Below are 17211 nucleotides of genomic sequence, written 5' to 3'. Positions count from 1 at the left end.
TTGACTCTGCCATCTGGATGGCTTCCTGGTATCTCTCTGCATGTTAACTCTCCATCTATTCTTAAATCTCCACTCAAAACAGTTTTCTACTCCTGCCAAAACTTCTTAATTTTTCTTGTTTTTTTGTTTCTTATATGAACCATTATCATGCAATGGTTATTCTATTTTCAACTTGCCAGAAAAAGCATTATGCTCTTAATTTTAGAACAGCTTCAAATTGGAAAACTTGCATAAAACCTAATAATCTCTAAGTATATTCTATGTATGTGAAATATTTTGAAAGCAGCATTTTGTATTAGGTAACTGAGAGTGTCATAGCAATTCATAATTCTTCACAATACATTTTGTGGGAATAGTTTAAGGCCTATTCTAATACTGCTACATTATATACTCAAGATAGGCTGAATAAATGAAGTTCAGGGAAAAGGAATGAAGAAAGATGGGGGGAAAGATTGCATGGAGAGAGCTGAATGCTGCTAAAAAAAAACAAAAAGGTTGGCCGGGCGTGGTGGCTCACACCTGAAATCCTAACACTTTGGGAGGCCCCAGTGGGCAGATCACTTGAGGTCAGGAGTTCAAGACCAGTGGCCAACATGGTGAAACCCCGTCTCTACCAAAAATACAAAAATTTGCCAGGCATGGTGGCAGGCTACTCAGGAGGCTGAGGCAGGAGAATCACTTGAACCAGGGAGGCAGAGGTTGCAGTAAGCCAAGATCGCACCATTGCACTCCAGCCTGGGCAACAGAGGAAGACTCCAACTCAAAAAAAAAAAAGAAAAAGAAAAAGTTGCACTCACAGTCCTCTCTTCTATTTTTCCCTCTCAACTCAATATATTTTATAAAGAGCACTTTAGCAAATACTACATTATATATTACATATATAATCTGTTATGTTGTATTATATTTTATAGTAATATTCAGAAGATGACAAAGAGATACTGCTGTGCCAAAGAAAAGATCCTCAAACGTCTAAGATCACAAATACCTCATATCACATGAATACTGTATAAGACGGGGATTTTAATATAAGTAAATTGATCAACAAAATGAATACCCTCCTAACGAGAATCATTAGACACAGACATAGTCTATCTAAACAATATTATATACTCCACGTATTTTTACTTGGGGAAACAAGCTAATTTTCTCCTAATAAAAATTTCAGTTTTCTAATAATTATTGAAATTATTTTAAGGGGTTTAAAAATCTATGTCTTAAGGGAAAAATCAGAGGATCAAATGGAGAACAGTAAGACTAATCAGAAGGATATAAAATGGGTCCTAAAGAAGTTTTTGAATTCTTTATTAATAGTAGTGATTTCAAGGAGAGGAAGGGTTACACGGTTTTCTTCAAAATGGCTGTCCCTTAGGAACCCACATCATTTGCATGCTCCTAATTTACATTTTCTCACAACTTAATGCTATTTTTCTATTAAATTTCCTTCCTTAAATTTAATTCCCTATAACTTGTCCTTATGTCTCAGAAATCACAGTGAACTCCACCCTTACACTGTTTCTTGGTGCTGGTCATTCTCCATGTGCTCCCCTCCCCTGATGCCTTCTCCGTCCTGTCTGTACCCCAAGCGACTGCCCTTTCTGGCTGGCTCCTGGCTGGTTCAGCCTGTGGGAGGCATTCCTTGCAGGAAACAGGACAGAGGGCATAGAAAGGGATGGGTCGTTCTCTCCCATCCCTCCCTGCTTCAGAGCTGTGTCCCAGTAGAGCTGCATCCCTCCAGACCAACAAGCGACCCATCCCTCAGGCCACAGCTCCAGCTCTCACCAGTCTCCTCCTTTGCCCTTCCATCCCTTGTTTGCTGCCTTAAGCCTGCCCATGCCTCTCTAAGTAGTCTCTAAATTTGGTCTTTATTGAAACATCTGCTGTGAATTGTTTTCTGCCAGGACTCTGATACATCCCGGACTCCCAAAATGCACACACGTAACATTAGACTCAGACTTCAAAATCTGAAATGACTAAGTTTCTCTAGTGACCAGTTATAAGATTTGTCACAAGTTACCTGTATCTTAGGGAGTTTGTAAAGTAGGATGATGACACCTTCTCTAATGGGCTTTTGATGAGGATCCAGTGACATCACCTTTTAGATTGTGCAGATAGATCATAAGCTCATAAGCTTAAGGATGATGTTGGAAGACAGTGATAACCTACCACCTACCTCCACCAAGCATAAGAGATATGGCAGAAGAGTATTAGAGTTGAACCCAAAAGATCTAGGTACAAATCCTGGCTGGCTATTTATTAGCTAGGTGACCCTGGGTAAGCCCTCTCAACTCTCCAACCTGCTGTCTCCTTATCTGTTGGGTGCAGGGCCCAGCACAGGGAAGTTCCCCATCACTGCTCACCTTTGCATGTGTAATCACGCCAAAGACTGCAAACATAATGTGCTTACCAATACCTGTTTATACTCAGACCTGTAATTCGTGAAAAAAGAAACATCACACCCTTTGACACATCCCTCTCAAAGATCTGAACAATACAATTAGTAAGTTCAAGCAATTTACATCCATATAAACTCTAAACCCAACAAACCAAGAATACATTCAAGAACTAGCAGCATAATTTCAAATATAGTCCATATGCTAAGCCAGAAAGAAAACTTCAATAAATTCCAAAGAATCAAATGTACTCTAACCATAATTTAATAAAATCATATATAAATGATAAAAAGATAGCTAAAAATAGAAAAATCTCATACTAAAATATATACCCTTCCATGAACTTCACCCAGATTGCTGAGGATTGCTGAAAAAAGTCTGACAGTCGTGCAGAGAGGACCCTCTCTCTGGGCCCTCCATATTGTCAACAATTCTGTTTTCCTGGTGAGTTCACTGTGTCTCTGCAAAGAATCTCTGGAACCTTCTTACTTCCCATTAAGCAAAACTACATTTCACTCATCACTTTCAGAAGATGTCTCCTACTTCTTCATAAAGAGAACAGAAGGCATTGGGTTGAAAGTCCTTCAACTTCCTATGTGAAACTGCAATCCCACCCACGTCTGCACCCATCCATTCCTCCCTCCTGTGACATTCCTCCTGTTACAAAGGAAAACGATTCCTCTTCCTGTCCTTCTTCCAACCTTCTATCAGTGTTTGATTTTATACCCCATCTACCTTCTCAGGAACCAGGGCCCATCACATTAAATTCCTCTTCTCTTGTAATCCTTATCAACAGCTTATAAAGCTCACACCTGTAATCCCAGCACTTTGGGAGGCTGAGGCGGGCAGATCACTTGAGGTCAGGAGTTCGAGACCAGCCTGACCAACATGGTGAGACCCTGTCTCTACTAAAAATACAAATATTAGCTGGCTGTGGTGGCACACGCCTGTAATCCCAGCTACTTGGGAGAGGCTGAGGAGGAGAATCGCTTGAAATTGGGAGATGGAGGTTGCAGTGAGCTTAGATCACACCACTGCACTCCAGCCTGGACAACAGAGCGAGACTCCATCTCAAAAAAAAAAAAAACACTGAAATTATAACTTTCTGTTAGAAAAAATCCTAAGGAAGGAAAAACAGCAAATAAACTGCAAAAAAAAAAACTGCATCAGTTATTATGGGCAAGAATACACAAGAGTCCTATTCAGCCATAAAAAAAGAATGAGATATTGTTATTTGCAACAACATGAATGAAACTGGAGGTCATTACATTAAGTGAAATAAGCCAGGCACAGAAAGACAAACACCACATATTCTCACTTATTTGTAGGATCCAAAAATCAAAGCAATTGAACTCATGAACATAGCAAGTAGAAGGATGGTTACCAGAGACTGGGAAGGGTAGTGGGAGGCTGGGGTGGAGGGGGAGGTGGGGATGGTTAACGGGTACAAAAAAAACAGAAAGAATAAGTCCTACTATTTGATAGCACAACAGAATGACTATAGTCAATAATTGTAGATTTTAAAGTAACTAAAAGAGTATATAATTTGATTGTAACACAAAGGATAAATGTTTGAGAGGCCGGATATCCCATTCTCCATGATGTGATTATTTCACATTGCAAGCCTGTATCAAAACATCTCATGTACCCCATAAATATATACACCTACTATATACCCACAAAAATTAAAAATTAAAAAATAATTTAAAAGAATTTCAGTAGTTCACACCTGTAATCCAGCACTTTGGGAGGCCAAGGCGGGAGGTCAGGAGTTCGAAACCAGCCTAGCCAACATGGTGAAACCCCGTTTCTACTAAAAATACAAAAATTAGCCAGACATGGTGGCACACACCTGTAATCCCAGCTACATGGGAGACTGAGGTGGGAGAATCACTTGAACCTGGTAGATGGAGGTTGCAGTGAGCAGAGATCATGCCACTGCACTCCAGGCTGGGCAACAGAGCAAGACTGTCTCAAAAAAAAAAAAAAAAAAAAATTTAAAGAATTTATTTTCTGCCTGGGTGCAGTGGCTCACACCTGTAATCCCAGCACCCTGGAAGGCCAACATGAGCAGATCACTCGAGGCCAAGAGTTTGAGACCACCCTGGCCAACATGGTGAAACTCCATCTATACTAAAAATACAAAAATTAGTCGATGTGGTGGCACGTGCCTGTAGTCCCAGCTACTCGAGAGGCTGAGGCACAAGAATCATTTGGCAGAGATTGCAGTGAGCTGAGATTACACCACTGCACTCCAGCCTGGGCGAAAGAGCAAGAATCTGTCTCAAAAAAAAAAAAAAGAGTTTATTTTCTTAATAAACAAAGAGCTTTTATAAATCAATCAGTAAGAAAAACAAATGCAAATTGCTTTAACGTTGAAAGAATACTCTCATTCACAATACAAGAGGTAAGATTTAAAATATTAATGAAATACCATCATGGCAAAAATCTGAAAGTTTGAGAGGACACTGTATTAACAAAGATGTAGGGGGACAGGCGAGCTGAGATCATGCCGCTGCACTCCAACCTGGGTGACACAGCAAGACTACTCTGTCTAGATAAATAAATAAATAAGCATTGAATGTCTTAAAGCCAGAATCCAGGATGTGTGTCTTGGTAACGGGGTCTCGCATCTTTTGTTGAGTTCTCACTACATGTCAGACACATCAAACAATTCCTATGAAGCAAGTAGGGTTTTCTAAAGTTTATTGCATAAAGCATTATTTCTGCATTATGTTTATGGGTGTTCATTTTAAAAGAAGCCACGTGTTCAAGTTGGAGAAACACTGAATTACAGGACCAAAGTTTAAAAGTTTCTTTGACTAGGCATGGTAGCTCACTCCTGTAATCCCAACACTTTAGGAAGCTGAGGCAGAAAGAATGCCTGAGCCCAGGAGTTCAAGACCAACCTGGACAACATAGAGAGATCTCATCTCTACAAAAAAATAAAAAATAAAAAACAACAAAAAAAAGTTTGTTTACTGCAGAATTTCTCAGAGTCTTTGATATACTAATGGCATTGTGATTCTCTGAGAGTTATTCACATAGCATTTCCTAAACTTATTTGATCACAGAGCTCTTTCTTAAATATTTCACATTTTGTAATCATGGAGGAAAAAGTTTTCTCAGAGATAAATATTCCCACTCTTAGCAAATGACTTATGAATTAGATGGCAAAACTAAGACAAAGATGAAGATAGTGTCAGAGCCAAAATGGAAATGCACTTCAAATCTGACTCCAAAGTCCAAAATGATTCTTTTGTTTTTTTGAGACAAGGTGTCGCTCTGTTACCCAGGCTGGAGTCCAGTGGCACCATCACAGCTCACTTCAGGTTTGACCTCCCGGGCTCAAGAGATCCTCCCACCCTAGCCTCCCAAGTAACTGGGACCACAGGTGCCCACCACCATGCCCAGCTAATTTTTACATTTTTTGTAGAGATGAGATCTCCCTATGTTGCACAAGCTGGTTTCAAACTCCTGGGCTCAAGGGATTCTCCCGCCTCAGCCTCCCAAATTGCTGGGATTACAGGCATGAGCCACTGCAGTGAAATGTTTTCATTACACCATCTCCCTGAGGATTTAGTAACAAAAACAGAAAAGCTTTAGTAAAAGCCCTGTCTTTCATGTAACCACCAAGCACCAATCCCAAGATGAACATTATAATATTTAGCTTCGGAATTTTTTGATTATTTATTTCAATATACCTCATTGTTACTACCCATAATATATGATATATGTCCAATTTAGGTTTCTACTTAACTGAAAAGCAGAGGCTCAAGTCAGGGTCGTATTTGAGAACTAAGATCTCTTTATCACTAACAAACATTTCTGAACACGAGATATTTCTGCTAACCTTAGGCCTTTGTGTCTCATTAATAAAATTAGGAGATTAACCTAGATTCAATTTCATACAATTCAACCAGCATTTATGGGCATGTACTGTGCTATGTGCTGAGGATACAATAATGTGTAGAAAACAATCCTTGTTTCCAAGGAACTCACGGAATAGAAGGGGGGACAAAGCACAAATAATAAAACACACAGAGCATATAACATAATATATACTGCATGTGTAGTGAACACACAATGCTCACATGTACTAAAAAGTCAATACAACATATTGCAAAGAATTGAAGTTCTCAAATTGAGGCACCCAGGGCACTGCAGCAAACTCAAAGGAGCCCTAAGGGCTATTTTAAATGTTTCAGGAAGATACAGCAACATCTCTCGTATATCAGGTAAACTATTAGCTTGAGGTAGTTCATATCTTCAAGGTTAGATCGTGCTACATTCCTTTCAAAAATGTCATATCTTGCACTTGTAATCTAGCTACCCAGGAGGCCGAGGCAGGAGGATCACATGAGCCCAGGAGTTAGAGACTAGCCTGGGCTATAGCAAGACCCCATCTCTTACATACATACATACAATTCACATTTATCTGGGCAGCCTGTATTTTTATTTGCTAAATCTGCCAACCCTACTTTAGATAACATTACTAAATGAGTGTTAAATTTCTGGAATGTGATGATGATAATATAGTTATGCAGGAAAAGGTCCTTGTTAGGCGTTATATGTGATATATTTAGGGGTCAAGTGTTATGATGCAACTTACTTGTAGATGGTTCTAGAAAATAAGATATTTAGAGAGAAAATTAAACAAATGTGGCAAAATATTAACCATTAGTGGATCTAAGTATATCATTGAAATTTTTCAAAATGAAAAGTTGGAAAAAAACAGAACAAAATTTGGTAAGGTGACTACTGTATTACTTTTACTTTTGAAATAAGCCTAAAATTATTCAAAAATATCTGCATATTTGTATTGTAGACATTTGCTTTCAAAACTGTTATCAAAACTATTCCTTTACTGCAAACTAAAAGAATGTATGTCATCCATCATTCCAAATATTTTGATTTAATGATTTTAATATTATCCTTTGTTCCCTATGATATTAAAATTCTAGCATTAAAAAATGATCCAAGGTGATTCTCATCAAAGTTATACATTGAAATAGCACGTCCTCTGCCTTTCTGGGTCACTATCCACCTGCTACTCTGGCATCATTTCCACTAGGACAATTAGATAATAAGGGTGGTGCTGTTAAAATAAAAAGTGTTGTTTTCAATTTGTTTAAAATGCAGGAATACTACTTTTCCTGTTTCTCTCCATTCCCCCCACCATTGCATTATTATCTCCCAAAATGATAGAATCAGAAACAATGATTCCAGCTGGAATGCTGAGCATAATTACATCTTTTAAAAACTGGCATTATAGCATTCTCAACATGGACCACTTTTTGATAAAAGTAGATCATTTCAGGTTTCTAAGAAGATCTTTAAAAACTAAAAAACTGAACTATATATTAGCACCCATAAATTCTCTTTAAATGAAAATGGTTTTTGAAATGTCTTTAGCTGATTTGCAAAAGAATCTCGGCAGCCTAAAGTATAATACACCAACTTGCTCAGTTTACTAGCATAATTAAGCCTATTTAAGTATCTAAATAAGTTGGGGGTGTGCTTAAAACTCTAAAACTACTAGTGTAAGAAATGGCTCAATTTCTGATTATAACACAATTTAAAGATGCAAATGACTTTTTGACATCTCATGCATTCAAGTCACAAACATTTATAAGTTCCTGTGTGCACCACTGGGAGACAAATGACAGCGGGCTAGTTTTCTGGCAAATCCTTCCATGTTCACTTTGCTCCTACCTGATACTCTGCTTTTGGCCAGCTTAGGTGAAGCTCTGCTAGGTCTGGTCTATTCCAGTCCACTACTAGTTCAGTCCACTATTGAGATACGAGCATTACTCTCAAGCCAATCTGCGCTTCATCAAAAGAAAGAGGTGGAAAATATCCCTTGTTCTGAACGCTGTTGTTGTTCTGAATCTGAGAAATTAAACTGGCCTTCCAGGCATCTTCAGGGTTAGCTAAAAACTGATGTTAAGGAGGGAATGAGAAGAGGACATATTCACAGAGACATACGTGGATATAGGCACACAATGGAGACACCTACACTCTCACACAGATACATGGATAGGCTCTATGACTCTTTAGTGATGGCTTTGTTACTCATTCACATTTCATTTGTTCCACAAACATGAATTGAGTATTGAGCACCTACTTTGTGCTAGGCAGTGGGCTGGGATCTTCAGGCCCAGAAGACCAAGAAAAGAAAAACCAGCCGGGGCAGTGGCTCACACCTGTAATCCCAACGTTTTCAGAGGCCAAGGTAGGAAGATCACTTCAGGTCAGGAATTCAAGACCAGCCTGGCTCATCTCTACTAAAAATTAGCCAAGCACAGTGGCAAACGCCTATAATCCCAGCTGCTTCGGAGGCTGAGGCATGAAAATCGCTTTAACTTGGGAGGCGGAGGTTGCCACGAGCTGAGATCGTGCCACTACACTCCAGCCTGGGTGACAGAGTGAGACTCCATCTCAAAAAAAAAAAAGAAAGAAAGAAATACAATATCTACCAGAGGAGCATGTGGTCACCAAGCAGGCAATGTGAGGTGAGCCATAACGAAAGGATGGAGGGTGGGCAGCTTTAGCAAAGACCCAGAGACAAAATAAAGTCTCAGCCTCGTCCAAGGATCTTTAAGCAGGTCATCATAGCTGGGACTTTTATTGCCAGCAGAGAACAATGGCAGAGGAGGCTGGCAAGATGCAGGGACTAGGCTCTCAAGAACTTTGAAGGACATGCTGAGTTTGTAGTTTATCCTGAGGGGGCTGAAAGCTTTAAGCAGGAGAAGAGTGTGATCAGATTTATAAGTATTCAGTTTATGAAATTTCAGAAAGAGGAAAAGATTGCATTGCTAAAACCCTCTTATAAACATATTTCATATGCCTTTCTGGAGGACTGTGCTAATAATTCTCCTTCCACAGTCTATTTGTTTTTTTTTTAATTTTTTAATTTTTATTTTTTAGAGATGAAGTCTTGCCATGATGCCCAGGCTCATCTCAAACTCCTGGGCTCAAGTGATCCACCCGCCTCAATTTCCCAAAGTGCTGGGATTACAGGCATGACGCACCACACCCGGCCCCTCAGTCTATTTGTAAGAAGGAAAGGCTGAACTAGTAGACTCTAAAATTATATTTTCAAGAAAAGTTGTAATTTTTTCAAAATGAAAAAAAAATCAATTAACCCTGCCAGGCACAGTGGCTCACACCTGTAATCCCAGCACTTTGGGAGGCTGATGTGGCAATCATTTGAGGCCAGGAGTTTGAGACCAGCCTGGCCAACACGGTGAAACACAGCATCTACTAAAAATACAAAAATTAGCCAGGCGTGGTGGCGCATGCCTTAGCCCTACCTACTCAGGAGGCTGAGGCACGAGAATTGCTTGAACCCAGGAGGCAGAGGTTACAGTGAGCCGAGATCGCACCACTGAACTCCAGCCTATGTGACAGATCAAGACTCTGTCTCAAAAACAAAACAAAACAAAACAAAAACAAAACTAACCTGTTGAAATATCTCACAATCACATGTAAAATATTTTCACAATGGAATATTACAAACAGGCAAAATTGAAGACTATATGGAACACCTCGTTACCCACCCTCCAGCTTTATCAAATCTTTCTATGTTGACATTTATTTCAAATTTAAGTAATAAAGCATTAAGTATAGTTGAAGCCTCCTTTGTCCCCTTCCTCCTCAGTATTAGCCACCTGAATGTATAGTTTATCATCCCCATGCTAAGCAACATTCCATTTTATAAATACATTCTGATTTGTTTATCCAGTCTTGTGGCATCTGCTAGTTATTTCTGAAAAAAAATACTCTCCTTTGTCTATTTTTCTACTGGGTTGTCTGTTTTTCTATTATATGGTAGATGTTATTTATATATTCTTTATTATTATTATTATTTGCAGAGATTAGGTCTTGCTATGTTGCTCAGGCTGGTCTCAAACTCCTGGCCTCAAGCGATCCTCCCAACCCTCAGCCTCTCATAGTGTTGAGATTACAGGCGTGAGCCATTGCACCTGGTCAGGGTTCTTTATGTATTCTAGAGAGCGATCCATAATCAATTTTTTTTTTTTTGAGATGGAGTCTCGCTCTGTCACCCAGGCTGGAGTGCAGTGGCGGATATCACCTCACTGCAATCTCCACCTCCCAAGTTCAAGCGATTCTCATGCCTCAGCCTTCTGAGTACCTGGAATTACAGGCGCCCGCCACCACACCTGGCTAATTTTTGTATTTTTAGTACAGACGGGGTTTCACCATGTTGGCCAGGTTGGTCTCGAACTCCTGACCTCAGGTGATCTGCCCGCCTCGGCCTCCCAAAGTGCTGGGATTACAGGCGTGAGCCACCGCACCCAGCCAGTAGTCAATTATTTTTGATGAAAAATCTTTTCTCCCAGTCTGTCGTCTACCTTTTCACTTTTTCTATGGTACCTTTTGTTAACTAGAAGTTTTAAATTTTAACATAGTCAAATGTATCAGTGTTTACCTTTATAAGTTGAACTTTTTTATTTTCTTTTTAATTTACAGGACAACATGAACATATATATTGGACTTTCATATCTTGTATAAGAAATTCTTCTGGCTGGGCGTGATGGCTCAGCCGGTAACCCCAGCACTTTGGAAGACTGAGGCAGGTGAATTGCTTGAGGCCAGGAGTTTAAGACCAGCCGAGGCAACATGGTGAGACCACATCTCTACAAAATACAAAAAATTAGCCAGGCATGGTGGTATGCACATGTAGTCCCTGCTACTGGGGAGGCTAAGCTGAGAGGATTGCTTGAGCCTGGGAGGTCAAGGCTGCAGTGAGCCATGACTGCACTCCAGCCTGGGCAACACGGCAAAACTCTACCTCGAAAAAAAGAAAAGAAATTATTCCTTTTCCCAAGTTCACAAAGTTACTCCTCTATATTTTCTTCAAGAAGTTCTAAAGTTTTCACTTTAAATTTAGGGCATTTATTTCTAGAGGTAAGTACCTAATTTTACTTTAATCTTCACATAGATAACCAATGATCCCATGCTAATTTAGTGAATAGACAATCCTTTTCCTACTAATTCACAATGTCAACTCAATCATATATCAAGTTCCCATGTATATTCTGAACTTTCTATTTTGTTCTATTTGTCTGTCTATTTAATGGAATAGTGAATAGTTCCTGTTGAATAGGGCAGGAATACAATATAGTAATGGAATATTAAACTTGAAAGCTAGACTAGGTAAAGTTCAAGCAGGACTTTGAATACAATTAATGATCTACCAGCCCTCATATCTAGTCAGGTAGCAGTCATCTAGAGCAAAGGCCAGCAAATTATGGCCATGGGCTAAATCCAGCATGACACTTGTTTTTGTAAATAAAGATTTATTGGAATACAGTTATTTATGTATTGCCTGTGGCTGCTCTGAGTGCAATGGTAGAATTGAGTAGTTCTTTTCCATCTGCCTCATGCATTGCTCTTGGAAGGGTGAGGAGGAGGTATCCAAATAAAAGATGGTAGGATATAAGAGGGAGTTGGAAATAAGTTCTCATTAGGGAAAAACTGAAAATTATCTGGTAGAGGGCAGGAGAAAAAGGAAAGGAGTTCTGTGGCTCCCAATTCTCAGGTCTCTTGGGCTACGATGTCTCCTCCCAAGAGATGAAAAAACCTGGCTGCCTATAGACCCCTGATTAATGGAAATAGAGATTTTCAGAGTAGCTCCATACTCTATTTAATTCTCTCCCTCCCTGACTCTGGAAATGCTTGATTTGGCTGTGTAAAAGTAATTCTAATTATAGTGATTTACATGAACTACTTACCATTTATGCCTAATTACCTCACAGCACAATAACAATTATGCATACATTAAAAGTGTCAGATTAACCTGGTTGTAAATTTTATTCAATAACAAAAGTAAAGTGTTTATAAATGTTCATTCTTCATAGTTTGTTGCTCATATGGCATGGTCATCTGTTCATAACATCTTCAAATGTTAATTTACTAGAGAAAACATTGTTACATAGGTAGGTGAAAGCAGCCTGGTAGTTTGTCACCAATTTTATCACCTTGGTTAATAAATTTGGTATCTTATGAAGAAGGTATACTTTATTTTAATATTATAGCATAGACTTACAGAAAGTTTCTTAGGAGTATAATGAGGGAAAAAAAATAAGTCCACCATAATGAAGTCTATTTGTGTTTTGTTTTGTTCTGTTTTGTTTTGTTTTTTGAGATAGTCTCTCTCTGTTGCCCAGGCTGGAGTGCAGTGGCACGATCTCGGCTTACTGCAGCCTCAACCTTCTGGGCTCAAGTGATCCTCCCACCTCAGCCTCCCAATTAGGTGGACCACAGGCATGTACCACCATGCCTAGCTAATTTTTTTTTTTTGGTGGAGATGGGGTCTCCCTATGTTGGCCAGGCTGGTCTCAAACTCCTGGCCTCAAGCAATCCTCCCATCTCAGCCTCTCAAAATGCCGGAATTACAGGCATGAGCCACCACACCCAGCCTATAATGAAGTTTAAACAACTGTATTGAAAACAAAATCCAAAGTTCATAAAATCATAAATCCTACTTAGCACATGTCTTAGTTCATTTTCTGTCGCTTATAACAGAATATCTGAAATTGAGTTTCAGATATTCTGAAATTTATTTATTTATTTATTTTTAAACAGGTAGTAATTAGCTGAATTTAATGATAAAATGAAGACCTTGAGAAATAGTATTTGTTATTTAAAGTTCACGAAAATGGGCAGTCAGTACTGCTTAGCTTTCCTCCAAAATGGCTGAATGTGTATCAAAGCAGCAAACATGCTGTAGCTAATAAACAACTTAAGTTCTTGAGTGATCTGTCTTCTCCTTAGCTGTTCGGATGGCCTATCAGAGAAAGAAGACTGTGCTGTGGTGAAACTTGTTGTCCCTTACAGTTTCCACTCTTCTTTCAACAATGTCAAGGTTTCATACCCAAGACAAAGGTTTACAGTCCAAAGTCAGAGTTTTATCTTCAGAAACTGAGTAATTTATAAAGAAAAGGAATTTATGAGCCAGGCGCAGTGGCTCACACCTGTAATCTCAACACTTTGGGAGGCCCAGGCAGGCAGAGCACGAGGTCAGGAGTTCAAGACCAGCCTGGCCAACATGGTGAAACCTGGTCTCTACTAAAAATACAAAACTTAGCTGGGCGTGGTGGCATGCACCTGTAGTCCCAGCTACTCAGGAAGCTGAGGCAAGAGAATCGCTTGAACCCGGGGGAGGCTGCCATGAGCTGAGATCACACCACTGTACTCCAGCCTGGCAACAGAGTGAGACTCAGTCGCAAAAAAAAAAAAAAAATAAAAAAGGAATTTATTTCTTACAGTGATGGAGGCTGAGAAGTCCATGTTTGAGGGACCCCACCTAGTGAGGGCCTTCTTGCTGGTGAAGACTCTCTGCAGAGCCCCAGATGACACAGGGGCATCACATGGCGAGGGGGCTGAGCATGCTAGCTCAAGACTCTCTTCCCCTTATAAAGCCACCGGTCCCACTTCCATGATAATCCATTAATCCATTAACCCATTACTCCACGAATGGACTAATCCATTCATGACAGCAGAGATCTCATGACCCAGTCACCTCTGAAAGAATTCACCTTTCAATACTGCCACACTGGGGATTAAATGTCAACATGAGTTCTGAAAGAGACAAATATTCGAACCATAGCACCAGAATAAAGAACTCCATCACTGGAGTTTTTCCATCACTGGAAAACCTAATAGCCCAAAGTTTCCTTTTCTGATAATTGGCATATCAGTGTTTGTTTTTAGAAAAAAAATAGGTCTGTGTCGTCTTTACACTCTTTAAAAACTAAAGTTTTATATACTTTTTTTCAAATTATGTTAGATGTTTGGATCTCTTTCAGTATTTTAAAGATTTAGTGGGGCCAGGCGCAGTGGCTCACATCTGTAATCCCAGCACTTTGGGAGGCCAAGGCGGGCAGATCACTTGAGGTCAGGAGTTCGAGAACAGCCTGACCAACATGGTGAAACCCCGTCTCTACTAAAAATGCAAAAATTAGCCAGGCGTGGTGGTGGGCGCCTGTAATCCCAGCTACTCGGGAGGCCGAGACAGGAGAATCACTTGAATCCAGGAGGCAGAGGTTGCAGTGAGCCAAGATCGCACCATTGCACTCCAGCCTGGGTGACAGAGTGAGACTCTGTCTCAAAAAAAATAAAAAATAACATTTTTAAGTAAAATCTTTATTTAAAATAAAGATTTAGTGGGTTTAGGAAACTATAAGGGCCAAGAGCGGTGGCTCATGCCTGTAATCCCAGCACTTTGTGAGGCCAAGATGGGAGGATTGCTTGAGCCCAGAGATCAAGACCAGCCTGGGCAACATGGCAAGACCCTGTCTTGAAAGGAAGGAGGGAAGATAGGAAGGAAGGAAGGAAGGAAGGGAAGGAGGGAGGGAGGGAGGGAATAAGACAAATACTATTAGAAAAAGATGTTGCTCTACCTACTAAACATTTATTCACATGCACTAGGATTTAACAAATAGGACCTTTCATTAGACACATTTGAAACTCTACCTGACATATCAAATCTTCCATTTACATTAGATTTCAACTACCCAGTAAAACCAGGGTTATTCACTAGCTGGCCCATCATAGCCAACTCAGATATCAAAGGTGGACATACGGGAAAATACCCCTAAGAAGAGCCAAAGATTTTTTTAAAAACCACCATTGTTGAATTGGCAACCAAATAAGTTAATAGTTACAGGATACTTGTGATTGGATGGGATGTCACCAACTACTGTAAGATGGGTCCTGGGGATGCTATAGAGTAGGGAGGAGGGATAAAAGGAATATATTTCCAGGAGGCTGGGGCAGACAGATTGCTTGAGCTCAGGAGTTCAAGACCAGCCTGGACAACATGGCAAAACCCCATCTCTATTAAAAAAAAAAAATACAAAAAATTAGCTGGGTGTGGTGGCATGCACCTGTAGTCCCAGTTACTGGGGAGGCTGAGGTGTGAGGCTTGCTGGAGCCCGGGAGGTCGAGGCCGCAGTGAGCCATGATTGTGCCACTGCATTCCAGCTAGGCAATAGAGTGAGACCCTGTCTCAAAACAAAACAAAACAAAAGGAATATATTTCCAAAAGGAAGAGGACTAGAAAGGGAACAAGATGTAAAATTCAGGAAAGCAATTCAAGTCTCAGATAACCAAAATATCCAGTTGAGTACAACATGTTGTTTCCTGGCTAGGCCACATAACCAAATTGTTATTTTACTTGGATGCCCACCTGTATCACAAACTATATAATTACATAGTTTTATATGTTATAGTTTATATACTATATGCAAATATATCCCTATATATATATCACATATAACTAGATATGCAGTACATAAGCAGTCTATATTTTTCAAATTTTTTGGTTCTTTACTCAACTATAAACTGAGAAATATGGGGAAAAGAGGTTGGTCATCAAAAGAAATAATTCATCATTACCTATAACCATTGTGCTGGACTGGTCACTCATGGTGCCCACCACACTCACAGTCCACTTCTGAGAGCAACTGCCATGCTCACAGGAGCAGCCCTGCATGGGACCATAGGTAAGCCAATCTTTACGCTGGTTAACGGCCTCTAAGAAACCCAATGTGAAAGCTCTGCCCAAACAGGGATGAAGTCATTGGTTGGCCTATGAGATCCTTACTCAGGAATTTAAACTACAGACACACAGAGAGAATTAAGAAGTTGGTAGAGTGAACAGAAGTGGAAGCAGACATGAGAGAAAAGGAACAACAAAATAAGTGGGTGCTATGGTCTCAATGCTTGCATCACCCCAAAATTCATATGTTGAAGTTCTAACCCCCAAAGTGAGGCTCTTAGGAGGTAGGACCTTTGGAAGGTGATGAGGTCATGAGAGTGGGGCCCTCCTCAGTTGGATTAGTGCCCTTACAAAAGAGGCCTGAGGGAGCTCATTTGTCCCTTCAGCCATGTGAGGACACAGTGAAAAGACAGCTGTCCAAGAATAGTTAAGCAGGCCCTCATCAGACACTGAATTTGCCAGCACTTTGATCTTGGCCTTCCCAGCACCCAGAACTACAAGAAATCTTTTTCTGTTGTTTATAAGCTACCCAGTTTATGGTATTTTGTTATAGAAGCCCAAGTGGACGAAGACAATGAATGACATGAATGGCAGAGCACTGTAAGGCCTAGCTGTGTCATGGAGATGCCTTTCATTGCTATGTTCTTATATAATCTTATTCTAAATCTCCATTTCTTTCTGCAATCTAAATGAATCTCTATTTCTTTCAACTAATAGTGTTAACACAATGGGAAGACATTTTCTTTACATAAAAATAAAATTAATTATACTCTCAGGAGCTTTATTAAAAAGTAAAATTACTTTCATTCATTTTTTGTTTGTTTGTTTTTTATTTGTATTGTAGAGACAGGGTCTCCCTATATCGTCCAGGCTGATCTCAAACTTCTGGCTTCAAGCTATCCTTCCACCCTGGCCTCCCAAAGTGCTAGGATTATAGGTTCAGCCACCACACCTGGCCCTTATTCTTTTTTTTTTTGAGACGGAGTCTCACTGTCACCCAGGCTGGAGTGATCTTGGCTCACTGCAACCTCCGCCTCCTGGATTCAAGCGATTCTCCTGCCTCAGCCTCCTGAGCAGCTGAGATTACAGGCACCTGCCACCACGCCTGGCTAATTTTTGTATTTTTAGTAGAGACAGGGTTTCATCATGTTGGCCAGGCTGGTCTCAAACTCCTGACCTCAGGTGATCTGCCCACCTCGGCTTCCCAAAGTGCTGGGATTACAGGCGTGAGCCACTGCGTCTGGCCCCTCATTCATTTTTAAATAAAGTACTACTAATGGTTGTTCTATG

General features: G+C 40.1%; 1 protein-coding gene across 12 annotated transcripts in view; it reads right to left on the bottom strand.

The window, feature by feature from the left end:
* AFG1L (AFG1 like ATPase) overlaps nt 1-17211 on the bottom strand; it is a 230948-nt gene that overhangs the window by 182157 nt on the left and 31580 nt on the right. The gene's annotated exons all lie outside the window — the stretch shown is intronic.

Source organism: Homo sapiens, chromosome 6, assembly GCF_000001405.40.
Source record: "Homo sapiens chromosome 6, GRCh38.p14 Primary Assembly".
In the NCBI taxonomy this organism is placed as follows: Eukaryota; Metazoa; Chordata; class Mammalia; order Primates; family Hominidae; genus Homo; species Homo sapiens.
Note: the sequence above shows the minus strand (reverse complement) of the source record. Positions and strands in the feature narration are given on the sequence as shown.